Source organism: Homo sapiens, chromosome 20, assembly GCF_000001405.40.
Source record: "Homo sapiens chromosome 20, GRCh38.p14 Primary Assembly".
NCBI lineage: Eukaryota > Metazoa > Chordata > Mammalia > Primates > Hominidae > Homo > Homo sapiens.
Genome location: NC_000020.11, coordinates 19,677,302 through 19,693,473, shown reverse-complemented (window position 1 = coordinate 19,693,473; position 16,172 = coordinate 19,677,302). Strand labels below are relative to the sequence as shown.

The following is a 16,172-nucleotide window of genomic DNA, read 5'->3' as shown; positions in this document are numbered from 1 at the left end:
ATTCTCTAAAGAGATTTAACAGTGCCATGGGGTCCCGATTGCACTCACCATCCACACCATCATGTAGGAGAAGGCTGCGATCCACAGCGTGGAGGAAGCAAACGTCACCATGAACCATTTCTCCCAGCGCGGCTTGTTGCAGTTGGGTACAGTGAAGTATAAGACGAAACTCAGCGGCCAGGTGAACGCCCATTTCACTGTTTCCAGTTTACCCGCTGGAAAAATGAAAAAGGCCAAAAAGAAATAAAAAAAAAATAACAAAGAACCCCAGTTAGCTTTATTTCTTTGCTCTGCCAAGTGTCTGTACTGCTTTCCCCAGAATTAAACCTTATTATATTGCTCTTTTTCTAAAACATTCAAATGACTTTCCATCACCAACGAAACCTGACATGCAACACCAAACAGAATTAAAAAAAAAATTACCCACTGCCCACCTGCTGATTAGGTCTCCGAAATGAGAGGGTGAATCACTTCTTAGTAATACCAGGCTAGGGGGATGGTTTGGCAGATGGCCAGGTGGGAAAAGAGAGGAGGATACTCAGGTCAAAAAAGAGGTGGAATGTGTGTAGGTGCAGGGGGTCGAAATGGGGGTGGGGAGCTAGGAAGACCTCCAGTGGGCTTCTGTTTTCCACGTTTTCGCCCGATAATAAAGCGTCAGCGGACGCAGCGCCACCTGGTGGAATTTCTCAGCATCGTCGGTCAGCGCGCCGGAATCTTCAAAGAGGATTTGAAGGCTCTCCCTAGACCTGTATTACTAACCTGATTAACTGCTAATTCACCTCTAGAAATAAATATGCATACATATTTCCATGTATTCCTCAATGCAATCCAGATACACAGTGCCTCTACCTTCCAGAAAGTTTGCTGTGCCTCTTTCTAGTCAAACCCTCACCCTCTACCACCATAGATATTGTTTTTACTGTTCTCCAACTTCAAATAAAACCATATAGGATGTTTTCGTGCCTTCCTTCTTCTTTTCAACATAATGTGATTGAGATTCATTCATGTTGCGTGATCCATTCCTTTTAATTGCTGTGTAGTATTCCCTCCTATGAATGTGCTACGATTTGTTATCCATATGGCGGTGGGTGAGCATTTGTTTGTTGCCAGTTTGAGGGTATTACAAGCCAGGTGACTATGAACATTGTTGTACAAGTCTTTTTGTGGTCATGTTTCATCTCTCTTGGACGAAGACCCAGGAAAATTGCTGAGTCATAAGGTGGGTATTTATTTAACTTTATAAGAAACTGCCAGTTTTCCAAAATGATTGAACCATTTTATATTCCCACCAGAGTTAAGGAGGAATTTTTATATTATAACATTTGAACAGTAATTAAATGTTTAATAAAATGTATTTTATAATTTTAGACCAGTATCCAGTATTTGTTTCATATATCCTACCAATCTCCAAATAGTTTCTTAAAACTGCATAGATAGAAAAAGTATCTAACATTATTTCTGGCACCCTCTGGCCTCTCTTAAAGGGCCGAGGCACAGTGTCTATGGGAGGCAGAGGGGTTTCTCATTAGATGGTGCTGGGCTCCGGTCCCTGCTCTGTGGCTTATGAGTTGAAAGACTCAGTTAATTAAACTCTCTACACCTCAGTTTCTTCATCTGTGAAAATGTGTATACAGCAGCACCGAGCTCACAGAGTTGCTGGGAGAATTAAATGAGATGATATTAGGATGAGGGCTGGGACAACATGAGCTCACAAGTCGTTCCTGTCAAAATCCTGGGAGTCATTCTTGATCTTTCCCTTTCTTTTATCCCCCACAGCCAACCCTGGCAACCTGACAGGACATTCCCACCATCTCATCATCCCCACAGCCTCCGCTGGGGCCAGGTTCACCAAGGCCTGGCTGACAACCTGGCTTCCTACGGGGACTACTGCTCCAATGCCTATCCTACCTCCATCTGTTTGCTACCAGTAGCCAGAGGAAAGAGTCTCAAAAACCAAATTGTTCTAGAACCTTCCACTGGCCTCCACTGCCCTTAGAGTAAAATCAGGTCTCCCCACCATGGTCTGTAAGGCACTGCCTGATTTTGCCGCACCTGCCACTCTCCCTGCTCACATACTCCCTGGTCTTGGCTAACTTTCTGTCCTCAGACACTCCAAGCCTTTTCCTGCCTCAAGGACTTTGCCCTCGCAGGTCTTCTGCCTGGATCTTCTCATGGCAGAATCTGCCCTGTCACGCAGGCCACTTCACTGCTCGAATGTCACTGAGCCCTCAGATAAATCTAAATATAACTCTCATCATCTCACTCCAGCTTTTCTATTTGTTTCATAGCAAATATTTTTATTTGTTTCATGCGAATATTTCCTGTCTTAAACCATCAGGGTTGTTTCTTAATTTATTTTCAGTCTCCCTCAAATTAGAATAAAGTCTATGAGAACAGGGGTCTTCTCACTTGTTTAGCACCTGATTGAAAGGCAGGGATAGTGCAGGGCTTATATTGCATTTTCAGTAAATATCAGTAACAGTAGTAGTAATAATGTTATTATGAACAATCTAATCAGACAGACCAAAGAAAATTACTTGGTTTTGAGAATCTAAGGCTATCCAATTTACAAGTACAGAGTAAAGCAAACAAACAAAAAAAATAGTAAGAAAAGAGAAGTGTTTTCCTATTAGCTGCTATGAGTCTTGTTAGATTTAAGCTTTGGAGATGGTCAAGTGAATGATGAGAACATAGAGACTGTGCTTGCTTTGTAAATCAAGAAGCCTGGCTGAGAGTTGTTTGGAGAGGGGCTTCCAGATGCTGCAGAATCCAGGATATGGCCAGCTCTTTGGATCCCAAATGCATCCTGGAATTTGGCACATTCCTAAATCCCGCAATGTGCTGATAAGGCATTTACCCATGTGGAACCTCCTAGAATCCCCTCAACGGCCTTCCATATGGCTGATGCCCTCAAACGGACAGAGTAACTCGGTTTAGTTTAAAATACACACCCAATCAAAGATTACGAAGAAACACAGGAAGAGGAAGAGAAATGATCCCAACTTGGCTCTTTCACATTCTTCAGAAAATAAAAAAAAAGAGGGAAGAAAAAAATGAAGTCAGAATTTACGAGTGCAAGAGCTTGGAAAATGATATTGATTAGACAAAGTTGTAAGAAGTGTAAGTTAGTGCCAGTGAATTTTGAGTTTTTATCAACTGCTTTAAAAATTTCTGACTGGACACTGGGAGGGCATTATATCTGGAAAACATCATTTTCAATGACATATATGCTTTCTTTAAGTTATTGCCCCTTTGTAACAACAGAACCTTAAAAGCAGAAATTCAATGAGCATTATCTGAATCATATATTTAAATGTAATGCAGCAAATATAACAAATATAAAGGTGTTTTTTAAAAATGATTTTGAGGAACAAAGGCAGTCAAATAAAGATCACCCACATTTTAGCTGGTCTTAATTTTCCTTTTTTTTTTTTTTTTTTTTTGAGACAGAGTCTCACTCTTTTGTCCAGGCTGGAGTGCAGTGGTGCAATCTCAGCTCACTGCAACCTTTGCCTCCCAGGTTCAAGTGATTCTCCTGCCTCAGCCTCCTGAGTAGCTAGGATTACAGGCGTGTGCCACCATGCCTGGCTAACTTTTGTATTTTTAGTAGAGATGGGGTTTTGCCATGTTGGCCAGGCTGGTCTCCAACTCCTGAACTCAGGTGATCCGCATCCTCCCTTTGCATCCCAAAGTTCTGGGATTACAGGCATGAGCCACCACGCCCAGCCCTTAATTTCCATTTCTGAATAAAGGGTTTAAAAAGGTTTCCTTTCCTCTTTGAGTCAACAACATTTCTGGACATTTTTCCATCTTCTGCTCTATTACCATTGGGTCAAAATAGAGCAACAAGGGGGATAGGTTTATTCTTCATTCATTCATTTAATAAATATCTGTGAATGTCCTCTATGCCATTTTGTGCCAGGCACTGCTGCAGGTCCTGGGGGTACAGCAATGAATTAAGAGAAAAAACTTCCCTGACCATGGACCTGATGTGTTGGTGATTACCTGATTTCACAAAAGTCAGCCAGCAACTGAGAGCTGAAGCCAGGGGCCGGAGCTGGCCCGTAAGCATGATAGTATCCCTTTGAGTTGGACTTGGCTTTAACAAGCAAAAGGATTTGTTTCTAAATTATGTTCCTCAGTCAGCTTTGAAGAAAGCTGAATTCTATCAAAGAGAGAAAAAGTTATTGCACAGTATTTTAGACCTAGACCTAAACATATACATTTGTTCCGATAATATCGGCAATAAAAATGTACACTGTTTTAAAGTAAAAAATACAGAAAAAACATAATTTTGCTTTGGAAAAACCTACTTATATTTTGGTGTATTTCCTTCTAGTTTTTCTTTCCCATGGAAATGTGTTTACCTACATACACATGAAAAGGTTTCTTTTGCTGTCTGTCAACAATAAGGCTTTCTTCACCCAAGAGATAACAATAGCTGCACGTTTATATGTATGTATGTGCATATACCAAGTGTAGATGTATATGTGTATATTGTGTGTATATAACCTATAATATAGTATATACATATATAAACATAAATATGTTAATATCTGCACATATATTATACATGCATACAATATATTAAGTGTACACAGTATACATGTGCATGTTAACACTATGTTATATCAATCTTAAATTGCACACTGTACATATATGTACATATATGAACTCACAACAGTATTCACATACTCCTAAATAATTACTTTCTTGGTAATCATCATACCCATTATAGTCAAGTCCTGAGAGAAGAAAGCACTGTGGCTGGGTGCCAGAAACAGGGTACTCATGCCTTGCAGAATGACTATGAGAGAGAAAAATGTCCTCATCATGTGGACGGATCTTTTTCAGTCCACAGGAACTTGACTTGATAGGAACCCATCTGGGGCTCCCAGAACTGACTCCCTGGCTTCTCAATGCCCTCTGCTGGCCGGAAGCACCCGACAGGCTTCTCACCCATAAGCAGAGGCCTGCCTGCCCCAGGAAGCGGGCCTGGCTGGACATTCAGTCCCCTTGCCTTAAAATGGAGTTCCTAATTCTGGGCCTGGGATTCCTTAGCAGCTGGTGGAGGGGAAGAGACAGTTGTAACTGGGGGAGCCCACTCTTTTCAAAGGCAGACCCGGGCTCTGAATCAGGCTTTCCCGCATCTTAGAAGAACTGGGAAGATTGCTGAGTGCCTCTAGGTCTCTAGCCTCTCCGTGCTCCAAGTGTGGCACACAGACCAGCAGCGTCAGTGTCACAGGATGGGGGGCAGCCGGTTCTTGATTAGCAATGCAGACTCGGGCCTCACCCTAGACCTCCTGAATCAGAACGTGCATTTCATTAAGGAAGCCCTGGTGAGAAGGGCTGCTAGAGAAGAACTTGGAATTCTGCTTTCTATCTTGGCAGCTGGGAGCCCTTGAATGACATGGAGACCCCACGGGATGGTACGACCACACAGAGTATCGTCTCTTCTCTCCTGTCTGTGCTTCAGGAAGGACACAGGAGGGGATGTGGGGTTCCTGAGCCTCAGGTGAAGCATCTGTTGGGGGTGAGATGCCTGCAGCCATGTCTCCTCATACACAGGAGCCCAGAAGGTGTGGCTGGAAGGTCTGAGGCCTCCATCATCTGCAACCTAATCACAGTGAGACAGAGGGTGGCGAGCACGAGTTTCAAAGACCTTGAAACCCCACAGTTAGCTCTCATCCAGGAGAGAAATACGGAACCAGGGATCTGAAAGGGGTGCTTGGTCCCAATCAGTAACGAGGCCCAGGCACTGGGCCAGACTTGGTCTCATCTCACACACACATCTTTCATTGTCCCCTGGAGGGGTGCACTTGGGGATTCTGGGCTCCCAAGATGCTAACATAGAACTTGGTCACTTACAGAACTTCCACTGGCTCGACTGTTTAATTAGTGAAAGATTTTAGCGAAATAAGCATTACTGGAGCTTGGTTATGGCCAGCTAATGGCGGACTCTGAAAACAGGGGTTGAGTAAGTGGAATTCTAGACACAGGTCCCTAAGATTCTCAGGGTCTGTGAGTGGGATGAGCTATCAGCCTCGTGATTCTGCTGTGTTGTATGGCACAGTTGACCTTTAGGTAGAGAGATTGTGCAGGTGCCTGATCTAGCTGCAAAGAGTCCTCAAAAGCAAAAGGGGAGCCAGAGAGATTAGGAATGATGGCGGGAAGAGCTCCACACATCCAGGTGAAGGTGGAGGGGCTCTGTGGCTTTTAGGAACAGTGGGACATCCCCAGCTGACAGCCATCAAGGACCTGCACAGCCGCAATGAACCGGTGCCTGGTAATGATTTCTCCCAGAGCCTCTGCAAAGGAATGTAGCCCTGGCTACACCTTCATTACGGCCTGTGAGACAGAATCCAGCAGGACTTCTGACCTACAGAACTGTAAGCTAATCAGAGGGTCTTGTTTTGAGCTGCAAAATATGTGGCATTTTGTTATGCAGCAACAGAAAATGAATGGAAGGGTTTACAAGGGAGGAAAGGAGTGTTTTGCCATTTAATCCTTAAGATGTTTTTGTCTTGGTTGATAGGAAAGGTTGCCAAGAAATATATCTGATGGTGGCAAAATGGATAAAGAACGAGTGTACATTTTTTCTATGAAGATAATGTACTAACAAGTAATGATTTAGCTTTGGGTGGGAGGTAAGGGACCTGGGGGAATAGGAATCTGGATGAATATTTTCTGATAAGTTCTTGAAGAGGCTGAGATCTTGGGTGCCCTGAGTGGGCACAGGGGCATCTCTGGTTCAAGTTTTACTTGCTGTCCTCTGGACAGAAAGGAGCTCCCCTGGAGCACAGCAAGACCCTGCGCATCCAAAATTAACACAGGACTCTGACACTCGGCACCATGTCCTATCATTAAATGGGCTTTCAAGTCAATCAAACGTTTCTTCAGATAATCCTGCACATTCAAACATCCCGAAGAGGTTGCTGCACATGTATACTGAGCCTCACACACTTGACAGTCCATGTGAATCAAACTAGTGTACTCTTCCCTGAAACAGCCAGAAGCTTCTGGAAGGTCCAGCAAATAGGCTGAATTCTTTGGGCTTGGACCACCTGCTCTGATAATGGGTGGGGTGGGGTGAAACAGTTTCTGGAACAACCAAGTCCTTGTTGGAGGCAGCAGTTGGGAGAGGAGGACACCACCCTGGTGGCTGAGGTCCTGAAAGCTTCTTCAGGCCTTGGCATCCACCAGGCTGGCCTTGGCAGGACAGCTCTCCCGGCTAGGTGCAATGGGATGGGTGGAGGTGAGTGACGTGCCTCTCCTTTTGTGCACCAAGCTGCCTTGCCCACACGGGTCATGGGCATTTCTTCCTTCATACCAAAAGTTCCTGCAGAACAGCTAAGTAAGATAAGACCGTCCCCTGAAACCAGCCCAACTGTCCCATAGAACTGATGCTTATAGTTTCTTTTGAATTAATATAAAAACTGACTCTCTCTCAGCTTTAAAACTTGCGAAACTTACATTTGTCTTCCCTGAGCTCTTTTCTCAGGAAATGGACCCTTAGGCCTCCCAGATGGCATCAAGGAACTGAAACTCACCAGATCATTGTGTCTGGACAATGAGGAGTCAGATCTCTCCTTCATCGTGATGCCTGATGGACTGCCTATTTCCTGCGGAGCAATTCCTCTTCCTTACTTCTCCCTAATTCCTGCTTGCTGGAAGGTAGCTACATTCCTTCCCTGCTATATAAATCCCCAATTGCAGTTGGTCAGCGAGATGGATTTGAGACTGATCTCCTATCTCCTCAGCTGCAGCACCTGATTAAAGCCTTCTTCCCTGGCAATATTCGTTGTCTCAGTGACTGGCTTTCTGTGTACTGATGAGCAGGACCTAGAACAAATCCCTGACATTTCAGTAACACTTCCACAAAACAGAGTTGGTTAAAGAGCTCACATTTCAAGCAATGATCATGGACCCCCATCTTGGCCATCTTTGAACTTCTACAACAAAGTCCTGCCCAAAGGAGACTTGATATACATAGTCTCATGTTCATACAGAGATTTTAAAAAATTGAATGGTAAAAAGATAATCTAAGTCAAGGGCATCTACTCAGTGGCTCAAAATAGCTCCCAACCCCAGCCCAGACATAGAACCTCTTACAGGGGGTGTCGAATGGTGTGTACGGTCCTTCATCATCATCCTCGTCCTCCTCTTCCTCCTCATCATTCTCATTGTCCTCATTTTCATTCTCTGTTTCGTTGCCAGCCTCAGCCACAACATCGTCCCTCCGTGTCCCATTCACGCCCCTGTCTGGGGCACTGCTGGGCCCTGTCCCATTCTCCACGGTGTGCTTAATTGGGATTTTGATGGCCACCTCAGATTCCCCGTTGGTATAAGCCCTGCTGTTTATCAATCTTTGTCTCTGGAAAGAGAAAGGCGCACTCTTACCACGGTCAGAGGGATTGCAAATACCTTACACTCAGAACATGAGCTGTTGGGATCTTTCCCTGGCAGCTGACGATATGCTTCCAGAAGACCCTGGAGTCAAGTTTTAAGGGGCCTCTCAATGTGATAACCAACTCCAGACAACTTCCATCTGGGAGGAAAGATTAGTCTTTTATGACCCATCAGAACTTGCAAATCCCTTTAGAGGAAAGTTCTTAGGGGATGTGCAGTTCCTTGACACTCTGTGCACTGTGATGTCATCTTTCTTCCCCAGACTGCAGGAGTTCCTGGGTCCCTATGTGAGAAAGCTGCACAACTGTGTTTGGTCTAGTGTATCAATAAGGCTATATTCCAGAAAAGGAATGCACAGCAAAATTCAAGTCAGGGACTCTGGATTACTTTAAACTAAGGTAACCCTTAGTTAGAAACAATTTCTGTGCAAGTTCATATCAGGGGGCTTTATTCAAATGGAAGAATAGAAGAAAAATGTGGGTGAAAGGGAGAAGGAACAGGGGAGTTTTCTATATAAATGGAAATTAGTCCATGTCTCAACACGTGGAGGGAAGAGCAAGGGCCAGATATACAGCTGGCCCAGGGAACTAAGATTAGGAAATGGCTGAGGGATGCTGCGGTGTTAAACTTTGAGTTAGGTGCTTCTTCTTTCAAACAAGAAACCTTCTCTCCTTCCCAGAGTTTCCCACCCCTGTCCAGTGGGCAGTGGACAGTGCTTTCCCAGGTACCTCATTGATCAACATGCGACTGGCCATGGAGAGCCGGGTCTTGGGGGGAAAGTGGCTGGTTATCATGATTCGAAGGCCAGCCTCAGAGAAGGAAAGCTGGTGTGGGTAGGCTGACAGCAGCTCGTCTACCATGATCACTGATGCTTTGCGGTGGAAATTTGCTAGGGAAACGAAAAACATAAGGTAAAATAACATGGAGGCCAGGAGCAGGAAAGAGGCATTCATTTATTCTTCCTTCCCTTCTTTTCTCTTCCTCCCTTCTTTCCTCCCATCCATTCACCCATCCATCTATCCACTCATCCACTCTTCTTTCCTTATTTCTTCCTTCCTTCCACCCATCCATGCATTCATTCTTCTTTCCATCCATCCAACTCACCTATCCATCCATCCATCCACTCTTCTTTCCTTATTCCTTCTTTCCTTCCTTCTTTCCATTCATCCAGCCAGCCAGGAAGGGTTGCAGTGAGCAAATTTTGAACAAGAGTCAAAATCTCCTTTCCATGGGTGTTCATGTTAAATCTTTTGAAAGGACTTGAAACAATTTAAGCCTCATTCACTGACATGGTAAGAATTAATGATACCATAAGAGAATTCCTCCTTGTCCTTAAAGGATTCTTTTCCCACCATTCAGATCTGGGGCACAGAGAAGACTCCAAGAACTTTGTACCCTATATGCCCTTCAAATGTCAGCAATATTCATACTGAGCTGTTAAATGCTACTGAATTGACGTTAGTGCAGTTCTGCACTGGAGGACATGGTGGTGAAATGTACACATTCCCTCAGCCCAGTCTATGAGCAGAGCTGACAAGTGTTGGGTGAGTTGTTCATGTTACAGAGAACCGAGGTCAGAAGAGTGCTTGGGACAAATCTTGTGTGATAGTTCACCAGAAGGCCTAAAAAATAATGTTGCACGAAGGGTCCAGCTCCCTCTCTATGAATGAGCTGTATATGCACACAGTTCAAGGGTACTTGGCTGCAGCCTCTTGTAATACTAGCTCCTGTTTTCCAAGCCACTAAAGCATGAAGTGATCTCTGGAAACACTGGCTAATACTAGGTAGCTCTCTTTAGCATATTCCTTTTACGGTTATAAACTACCCAGAAGAGAAGAAACTAAATAAAATCCTCATGTGAAATGGTACTAAATCACCTAAGTCATTTGTTAAACATATGTATAATCATTCAGAAAAATATATCAAATATTTAATTTTGAAAATCTAATGATGCAGTGATGTCAGAGATATATTTGAAAATAACCCATAGATGTATTTGAAAATAATCTTTCTAATTTCTTTTTTTTTCTTCCTGCAAAGCAACCATATGGGACCAAGAAAAAATAAACTCCCATATTTCAAGAGAAAAGTTTAAAAAATTAAGTAAAAAACACATTCCAGGTAAAATTAAATGATTATTTTCTGAGTTCCTCTTAGAAAAAATATTATATATTTGAGAGCACCATCTAATTTCCCTTAGTGTCTCAGCTGTTTTGTAAGACTCGACTGAATACAAGAATTACTTTGAAGAGGAAGGCACTTTTCTATTTCTGTTTGCAGCTTGGAAACTGAGTTAATGTAGCCTTAAAGTGAATTTGGATCTAGTAATATACTAATAACACCTGTCATTTATAGAGCATTGCACTAAACTCTGACACATATTTATCTACTTTGCTTATTACAAAAATGATTCTCGTATTTCAGAAGAGAAAACTGAGGCTCAAGAGGTTACATAACCTGCTTCATGGTCACACAACCAAAACCCTATCTCAGAACCTAGGGTCTCCTTTCCTTTGCCATCCTGTTCTCTGCAGCACTCGAGCAAATGTGTTGCCTGGGAATTTCCAGGGGGCTTTCTGAGCTCTAAGGGGCTTACCAGGTATGAGATGGCTCCATGACATTGTAGTGAAAGGGAGGGTTGGAGGACTGGAAACTTCTGCTCTCTCGGGGCAGGGAGTGCCCTCTCAAGGCCAGCTGGGACATGCCATGTGTGGCTATGAGAGTGGGCAGATGGGCTCATATTCTAGCACTTTCTTCTCACACACAATATCTCCTTGGTTACCTTTTCTTTCTTTCTTTTATTTTTTTTTGAAATAGGGTCTGGCTCTGTTGTCCTGACTGGAGTGCAGTAGAGCAATCTCGGCTCACTGCAACGTCTGCCTCCTGCGTTCAAGCGATTCTCATGCCTCGGCCTCCCATGCAGCTGGGATTACAGGCTTGGGCCACCACTCCTGGTTAATTTTGTTGTATTTTTAGTAAAGATGGGGATTTGCCATGTTGGCCAGGCTGGTCTTGAACTCCTGGCCTCAATTGATCCTCCTGCCTTGGACCCCAAAGTGCTCTCCTTGGTTACCTTTCTTAAGTAGCACCACAGTTGCGTCGCAGTTGCTGCTGTCATCAATTTCAGCATTGTTGGCCAATCCGTTGACCATGTTCCCGGCACCTTTTGTCCTCCTCTCAAAGCACTGATGTATGCAAGCGTTATATCTGAGCAAAGCGACAAGTGGGCAGAGTCCATCAGTGTTTTCCATTCTCCCATTTCTCAACTCCCACCAAGTGCTTCTGAGAGCTCTCCCAGTCTGCATGCACAGTCACCAGGCCTCAAGTTATTAGTGTTCTAATTTTCTCAACCCATTCCCCCTCAGAATATACAAGCCTGTCCCATTTCCCAATTTATGAACAAATGGTAAGTGAAAAGAAAACCACCATTATAGAAATAAACCAGAGCACATGGGCACATTGCTTACTTTGCCACCTCTTTCATGCCAGTGGGGGCCTCTCTGGGATTGAGCTCCCCTTCTCAGTCTGCACATGGAAGGACTGTGCTAAGACTCAGTAGGATGGTCAAGGTCTACCTTCTCTGGGCCACATCTCCAGGGCCTTTGTAATCAGGGACCAGCTTTTTGGGAGAAGGAGAAGCTGCTTCATCCACACCACTCCCCAGGAACAGTGGCTGTGTGTCACAGTCTATGTGCTACAGTCCGGTTGGCCGTCTAGGTCTCTGTATGGCTTTGGTTTCCTGAGGTCATGGGTTGGGATTCTCCAAATTTCTATGACTATCGTGCCTAAGTTTCAGATCCAATGGGCCCTTAGCTTTATGAAAAAATTCTAGGCTATTATCCTCCAGAATGATCAAGTGAATACATTGTGCAGTGTTCCTTAGATGCCCCAGCAGGCTGAGGTGGGAAGGGAAGAAGCTTGTACAAGTTCCGAGGATGGTTTTTTACAGTCTCCCTAGCTTTAGTATGAGAAGATTCCCACAGAGGAATCCTAGAAAACTCATAAAAACTCACGGGCAAAGACAGCCAGGCACAGTTTCCATGTCACAAAAGGCTGCTACTGCTTTTCCCCCCTCCATCGTTTACTGGCCATGGGACAGCCCACTGGGGACCTCCAGTTTGACCTCCGGCCTCCCATAGGCATGGCAGTTAGGCATGGTGACCGTAAGTTGCCAGCTGGAAGGCCACTCAACCTATGTTTCTCTTCCCTTTCCTCATCTCTTTGCTGCTACAGACATGAAGCTCTCTGGATTCCCTCCCAGCTATCTCCTTTGTGCCTGATTCTTCAGTGGGTACAGCTCTGAGGTGGCTGGCCTATGGCAACAAGACCTCAGAGAGACGAAGAGGTCCTCTGTGGCTGGACCGTCTCATCCATGAGTTCTTTCCTGTACTCTCTAGGAACGTGCAGTTACTACATTGCATGAGAGAGAACAGAAAACTAGTCAAAGTGACGGGTGTCATTTGTAGTTCATAAGACACGAAGCGTAGAATTAGAACACCACTATTTTGCAACCCAAACGAAATAATGGATGCAGACACTGAGCACTGATGGCTGCCAACACTACAGACAGAGAAAGGCAGACATCACCATGCCTCCTGGTGATGGAACCTGAATGCTGACGGCTGCCAACACTACAGACAGAGAAAGGCAGACCTCACCGTGCCTCCTGGTGATGGAACTTTACCACCACTTGGGACATAGTCTAGCCTGAATCAGATCAATTACAGACATATAGGAAACACATAGGCCAAGGGAACAGATTGCACCACAGCATGGGATATAATCAACAGTTTCCAACCATGGGCAACTCTGCAGAGCAAACAGCCAAACTTCATCAAAGAACAAAGTGCAAGGAAAATGCACACACACACACATGCACATACAGACACACAGAGACACACAGACACACACAGACACACACAGAGACACACACAGACACACACACAGACACAGACACACACTCGCACACACAGACACATACAGACACACACACAGACACACAGCACACAGACACACACAGATGCCCAGTCATGCACACACATACACACACAGACAACACACAGACACAGAGGCCAAGGGAACAGACTGTGCCACATCATGGGATATAATCAACGCTTTCCAACCGTGGGCAACTCTGCAGAGCAAACAGCCAAACTTCATTAAAGAACAAAGTGCAAGGAAAATGCACACACACACATGCACACACATACAGACACAGCAGCAAGTCATGGGCCACCAATTCTAATGAGTGGAATTTATTTGAATTCTCATTTTTAAAATATTTATGATATTTATGAAACTAAAAGAAAACAATGAAAAAGACATTTGTGAGGCCACTGAAAATTTGAACATTAGGTATTTTATGATATTAAGGAATTAGTATTAATTTTACGTATGACGATAATGTGGTTATGTTAAAGAAAATAGTCCTTTTAGAATCCTAAAAGAGTGAGTCTCCCTCTCCCTCTCCCTCTCCCCACGGTCTCCGTCTCCGTCTCCCTCTCCCTCTCCCTCTCCCTCTCCCCCTCCCCACGGTCTCCCTCTCCCCACGGTCTCCCTCTCCGTCTCTTTCCACGGTCTCCCTCTGATGCCGAGCCGAAGCTGGACTGTACTGCTGCCATCTCGGCTCACTGCAACCTCCCTGCCTGATTCTCCTGCCTCAGCCTGCGGAGTGCCTGCGATTGCAGGTGCGTGCCGCCACGCCTGACTGGTTTTCGTATTTTTTTGGTGGAGACGGGGTTTCGCTGTGTTGGCCGGGCTGGTCTCCAGCTCCTAACCGCGAGTGATCCGCCAGCCTCGGCCTCCGGAGGTGCTGGGATTGCAGACGGTGTCTGGTTCACTCAGTGCTCAATGGTGCCCAGGCTGGAGTGCAGTGGCGTGATCTCGGCTTGCTACAACCTCCACCTCCCAGCCGCCTGCCTTGGCCTCCCAAAGTGCCCAGAGTGCAGCCTCTGCCCGGCCGCCACCCTGTCTAGGAAGTGAGGAGCGTCTCTGCCTGGCCGCCCATCGTCTGGGATGTGAGGAGCCCCTCTGCCTGGCTGCCCAGTCTGGAAAGTGAGGAGCGTCTCTGCCCGGCCGCCATCCCATCTAGGAAGTGAGGAGCGTCTCTGCCCGGCCTCCCATCGTCTGAGATGTGGGGAGCGCCTTTGCCCCGCCGCTCCGTTTCGGATGTGAGGAGAGCCTCTGCCCGGCCGCGACCCCGTCTGGGAGGTGAGGAGCGTCTCTGCCCAGCCGCCCCATCTGAGAAGGGAGGAGACCCTCCGCCCGGCAACCGCCCCGTCTGAGAAGTGAGGAGCCCCTCCGCCCGGCAGCCGCCCCGTCTGAGAAATGAGGAGCCCCTCCGCCCGGCAGCCACCCCGTCTGGGAAGTGAGGAGCGTCTCCGCCCGGCAGCCGCCGTGTCCGGGAGGGAGGTGGAGGGTCAGCCCCCCGCCCGGGGCCAGCCGCCCCGTCCGGGAGGTGAGGGGCGCCTCTGCCCAGCCGCCCCTACTGGGAAGTGAGGAGCCCCTCTGCCCGGCCAGCCGCCCCGTCCGGGAGGGAGGTTGGGGGGTCAGCCCCCCGCCCGGCCAGCCGCCCCGTCCGGGAGGGAGGTGGGGGGTCAGCCCCCCGCCCGGCCAGCCGCCCCGTCCGGGAGGTGAGGGGCGCCTCTGCCTGGCCGTCCCTACTGGGAAGTGAGGAGCCCCTCTGCCCGGCCAGCCGCCCCGTCCGGGAGGGAGGTGGGGGGGGTCAGCCCCCCGCCCGGCCAGCCGCCCCGTCTGGGAGGTGAGGGGTGCCTCTGCCCGGCCGCCCCTACTGGGAAGTGAGGAGCCCCTCTGCCCGGCCACCACCCCGTCTGGGAGGTGTGCCCAACAGCTCATTGAGAACGGGCCAGGATGACAATGGCGGTTTTGTGGAATAGAAAGGGGGGAAAGGTGGGGAAAAGATTGAGAAATCGAATGGTTGCCGTGTCTGTGTAGAAAGAAGTAGACATGGGAGACTTTTCATTTTGTTCTGTACTAAGAAAAATTCTTCTGCCTTGGGATCCTGTTGATCTGTGACCTTACCCCCCAACCCTGTGCTCTCTGAAACATGTGCTGTGTCCACTCAGGGTTAAATGGATTAAGGGCGGTGCAAGATGTGCTTTGTTAAACAGATGCTTGAAGGCAGCATGCTCGTTAAGAGTCATCACCACTCCCTAATCTCAAGTACCCAGGGAGGCAAACACTGCGGAAGGCCTCAGGGTCCTCTCCCTAGGAAAACCAGAGACCTTTGTTCACTTGTTTATCTGCTGACCTTCCCTCCACTATTGTCCTACGACCCTGCCAAATCCCCCTCTGTGAGAAACACCCAAGAATGATCAATAAAAATAAAAATGAAAATTAAAAAAAAAAAAAAAAAAAAGAAAAAAAAAAGAATCCTAAAAGAGTATCCAGCTGTGTCTAGAGATGTCCAGATGTATACTGGAATTTTTGTGGATGAACTAGTATGATGTCCGGGACTTCAAAATTATAGGAGAAAAGGGAAGTGAATAGGGTGTGGATGGGGCAACTGTGGGTTGATGGTTGCTGGGGGTGGTGACGAATGCATGGGGTTCATCGTACTATTCTGCAGACTCCTGTATATATTCAAAATTCCTGTTAGTGAAAAGGCCTCCACACTTTCTAGATTCGACAAGGATGCCTTGCCCTGTAGAGCGACAGGGAAAGAGGCAGTGTTTCTGTCATCTTGACTTAGACTCCATTTCCCTGAAAGAAATACTGACTTGCATAAAGGTTTGCTTTTTTTT

At 46.4% G+C, this 16,172-nt stretch overlaps 1 protein-coding gene across 1 annotated transcript in view, besides 2 other annotated features; it reads right to left on the bottom strand.

Moving 5' to 3' along the window:
* Nucleotides 1-16,172, bottom strand: part of SLC24A3 (solute carrier family 24 member 3) — a 510,285-nt gene that overhangs the window by 29,453 nt on the left and 464,660 nt on the right. The window contains exons 10-13 of the mRNA NM_020689.4: nucleotides 11,483-11,616; nucleotides 9,138-9,298; nucleotides 8,113-8,374; nucleotides 49-215 (exon numbers count right to left, since the gene is read on the bottom strand). Coding sequence (NP_065740.2) covers nucleotides 49-215; nucleotides 8,113-8,374; nucleotides 9,138-9,298; nucleotides 11,483-11,616 — 724 coding nt within the window. The remainder of the gene's footprint in view (nucleotides 1-48; nucleotides 216-8,112; nucleotides 8,375-9,137; nucleotides 9,299-11,482; nucleotides 11,617-16,172) is intronic.
* Nucleotides 13,911-14,887: an enhancer, noted in NCBI's record as "H3K27ac hESC enhancer chr20:19659231-19660207 (GRCh37/hg19 assembly coordinates)". NCBI's record gives its function as "activates a minimal SCP1, AML or CMV promoter by ChIP-STARR-seq in primed H9 embryonic stem cells {active_cell/tissue: H9 hESC(primed)}" and the evidence as "EXISTENCE:reporter gene assay evidence [ECO:0000049][PMID:30033119]".
* Nucleotides 14,888-15,866: an enhancer, noted in NCBI's record as "NANOG-H3K27ac hESC enhancer chr20:19658252-19659230 (GRCh37/hg19 assembly coordinates)". NCBI's record gives its function as "activates a minimal SCP1, AML or CMV promoter by ChIP-STARR-seq in naive H9 embryonic stem cells {active_cell/tissue: H9 hESC(naive)}" and the evidence as "EXISTENCE:reporter gene assay evidence [ECO:0000049][PMID:30033119]".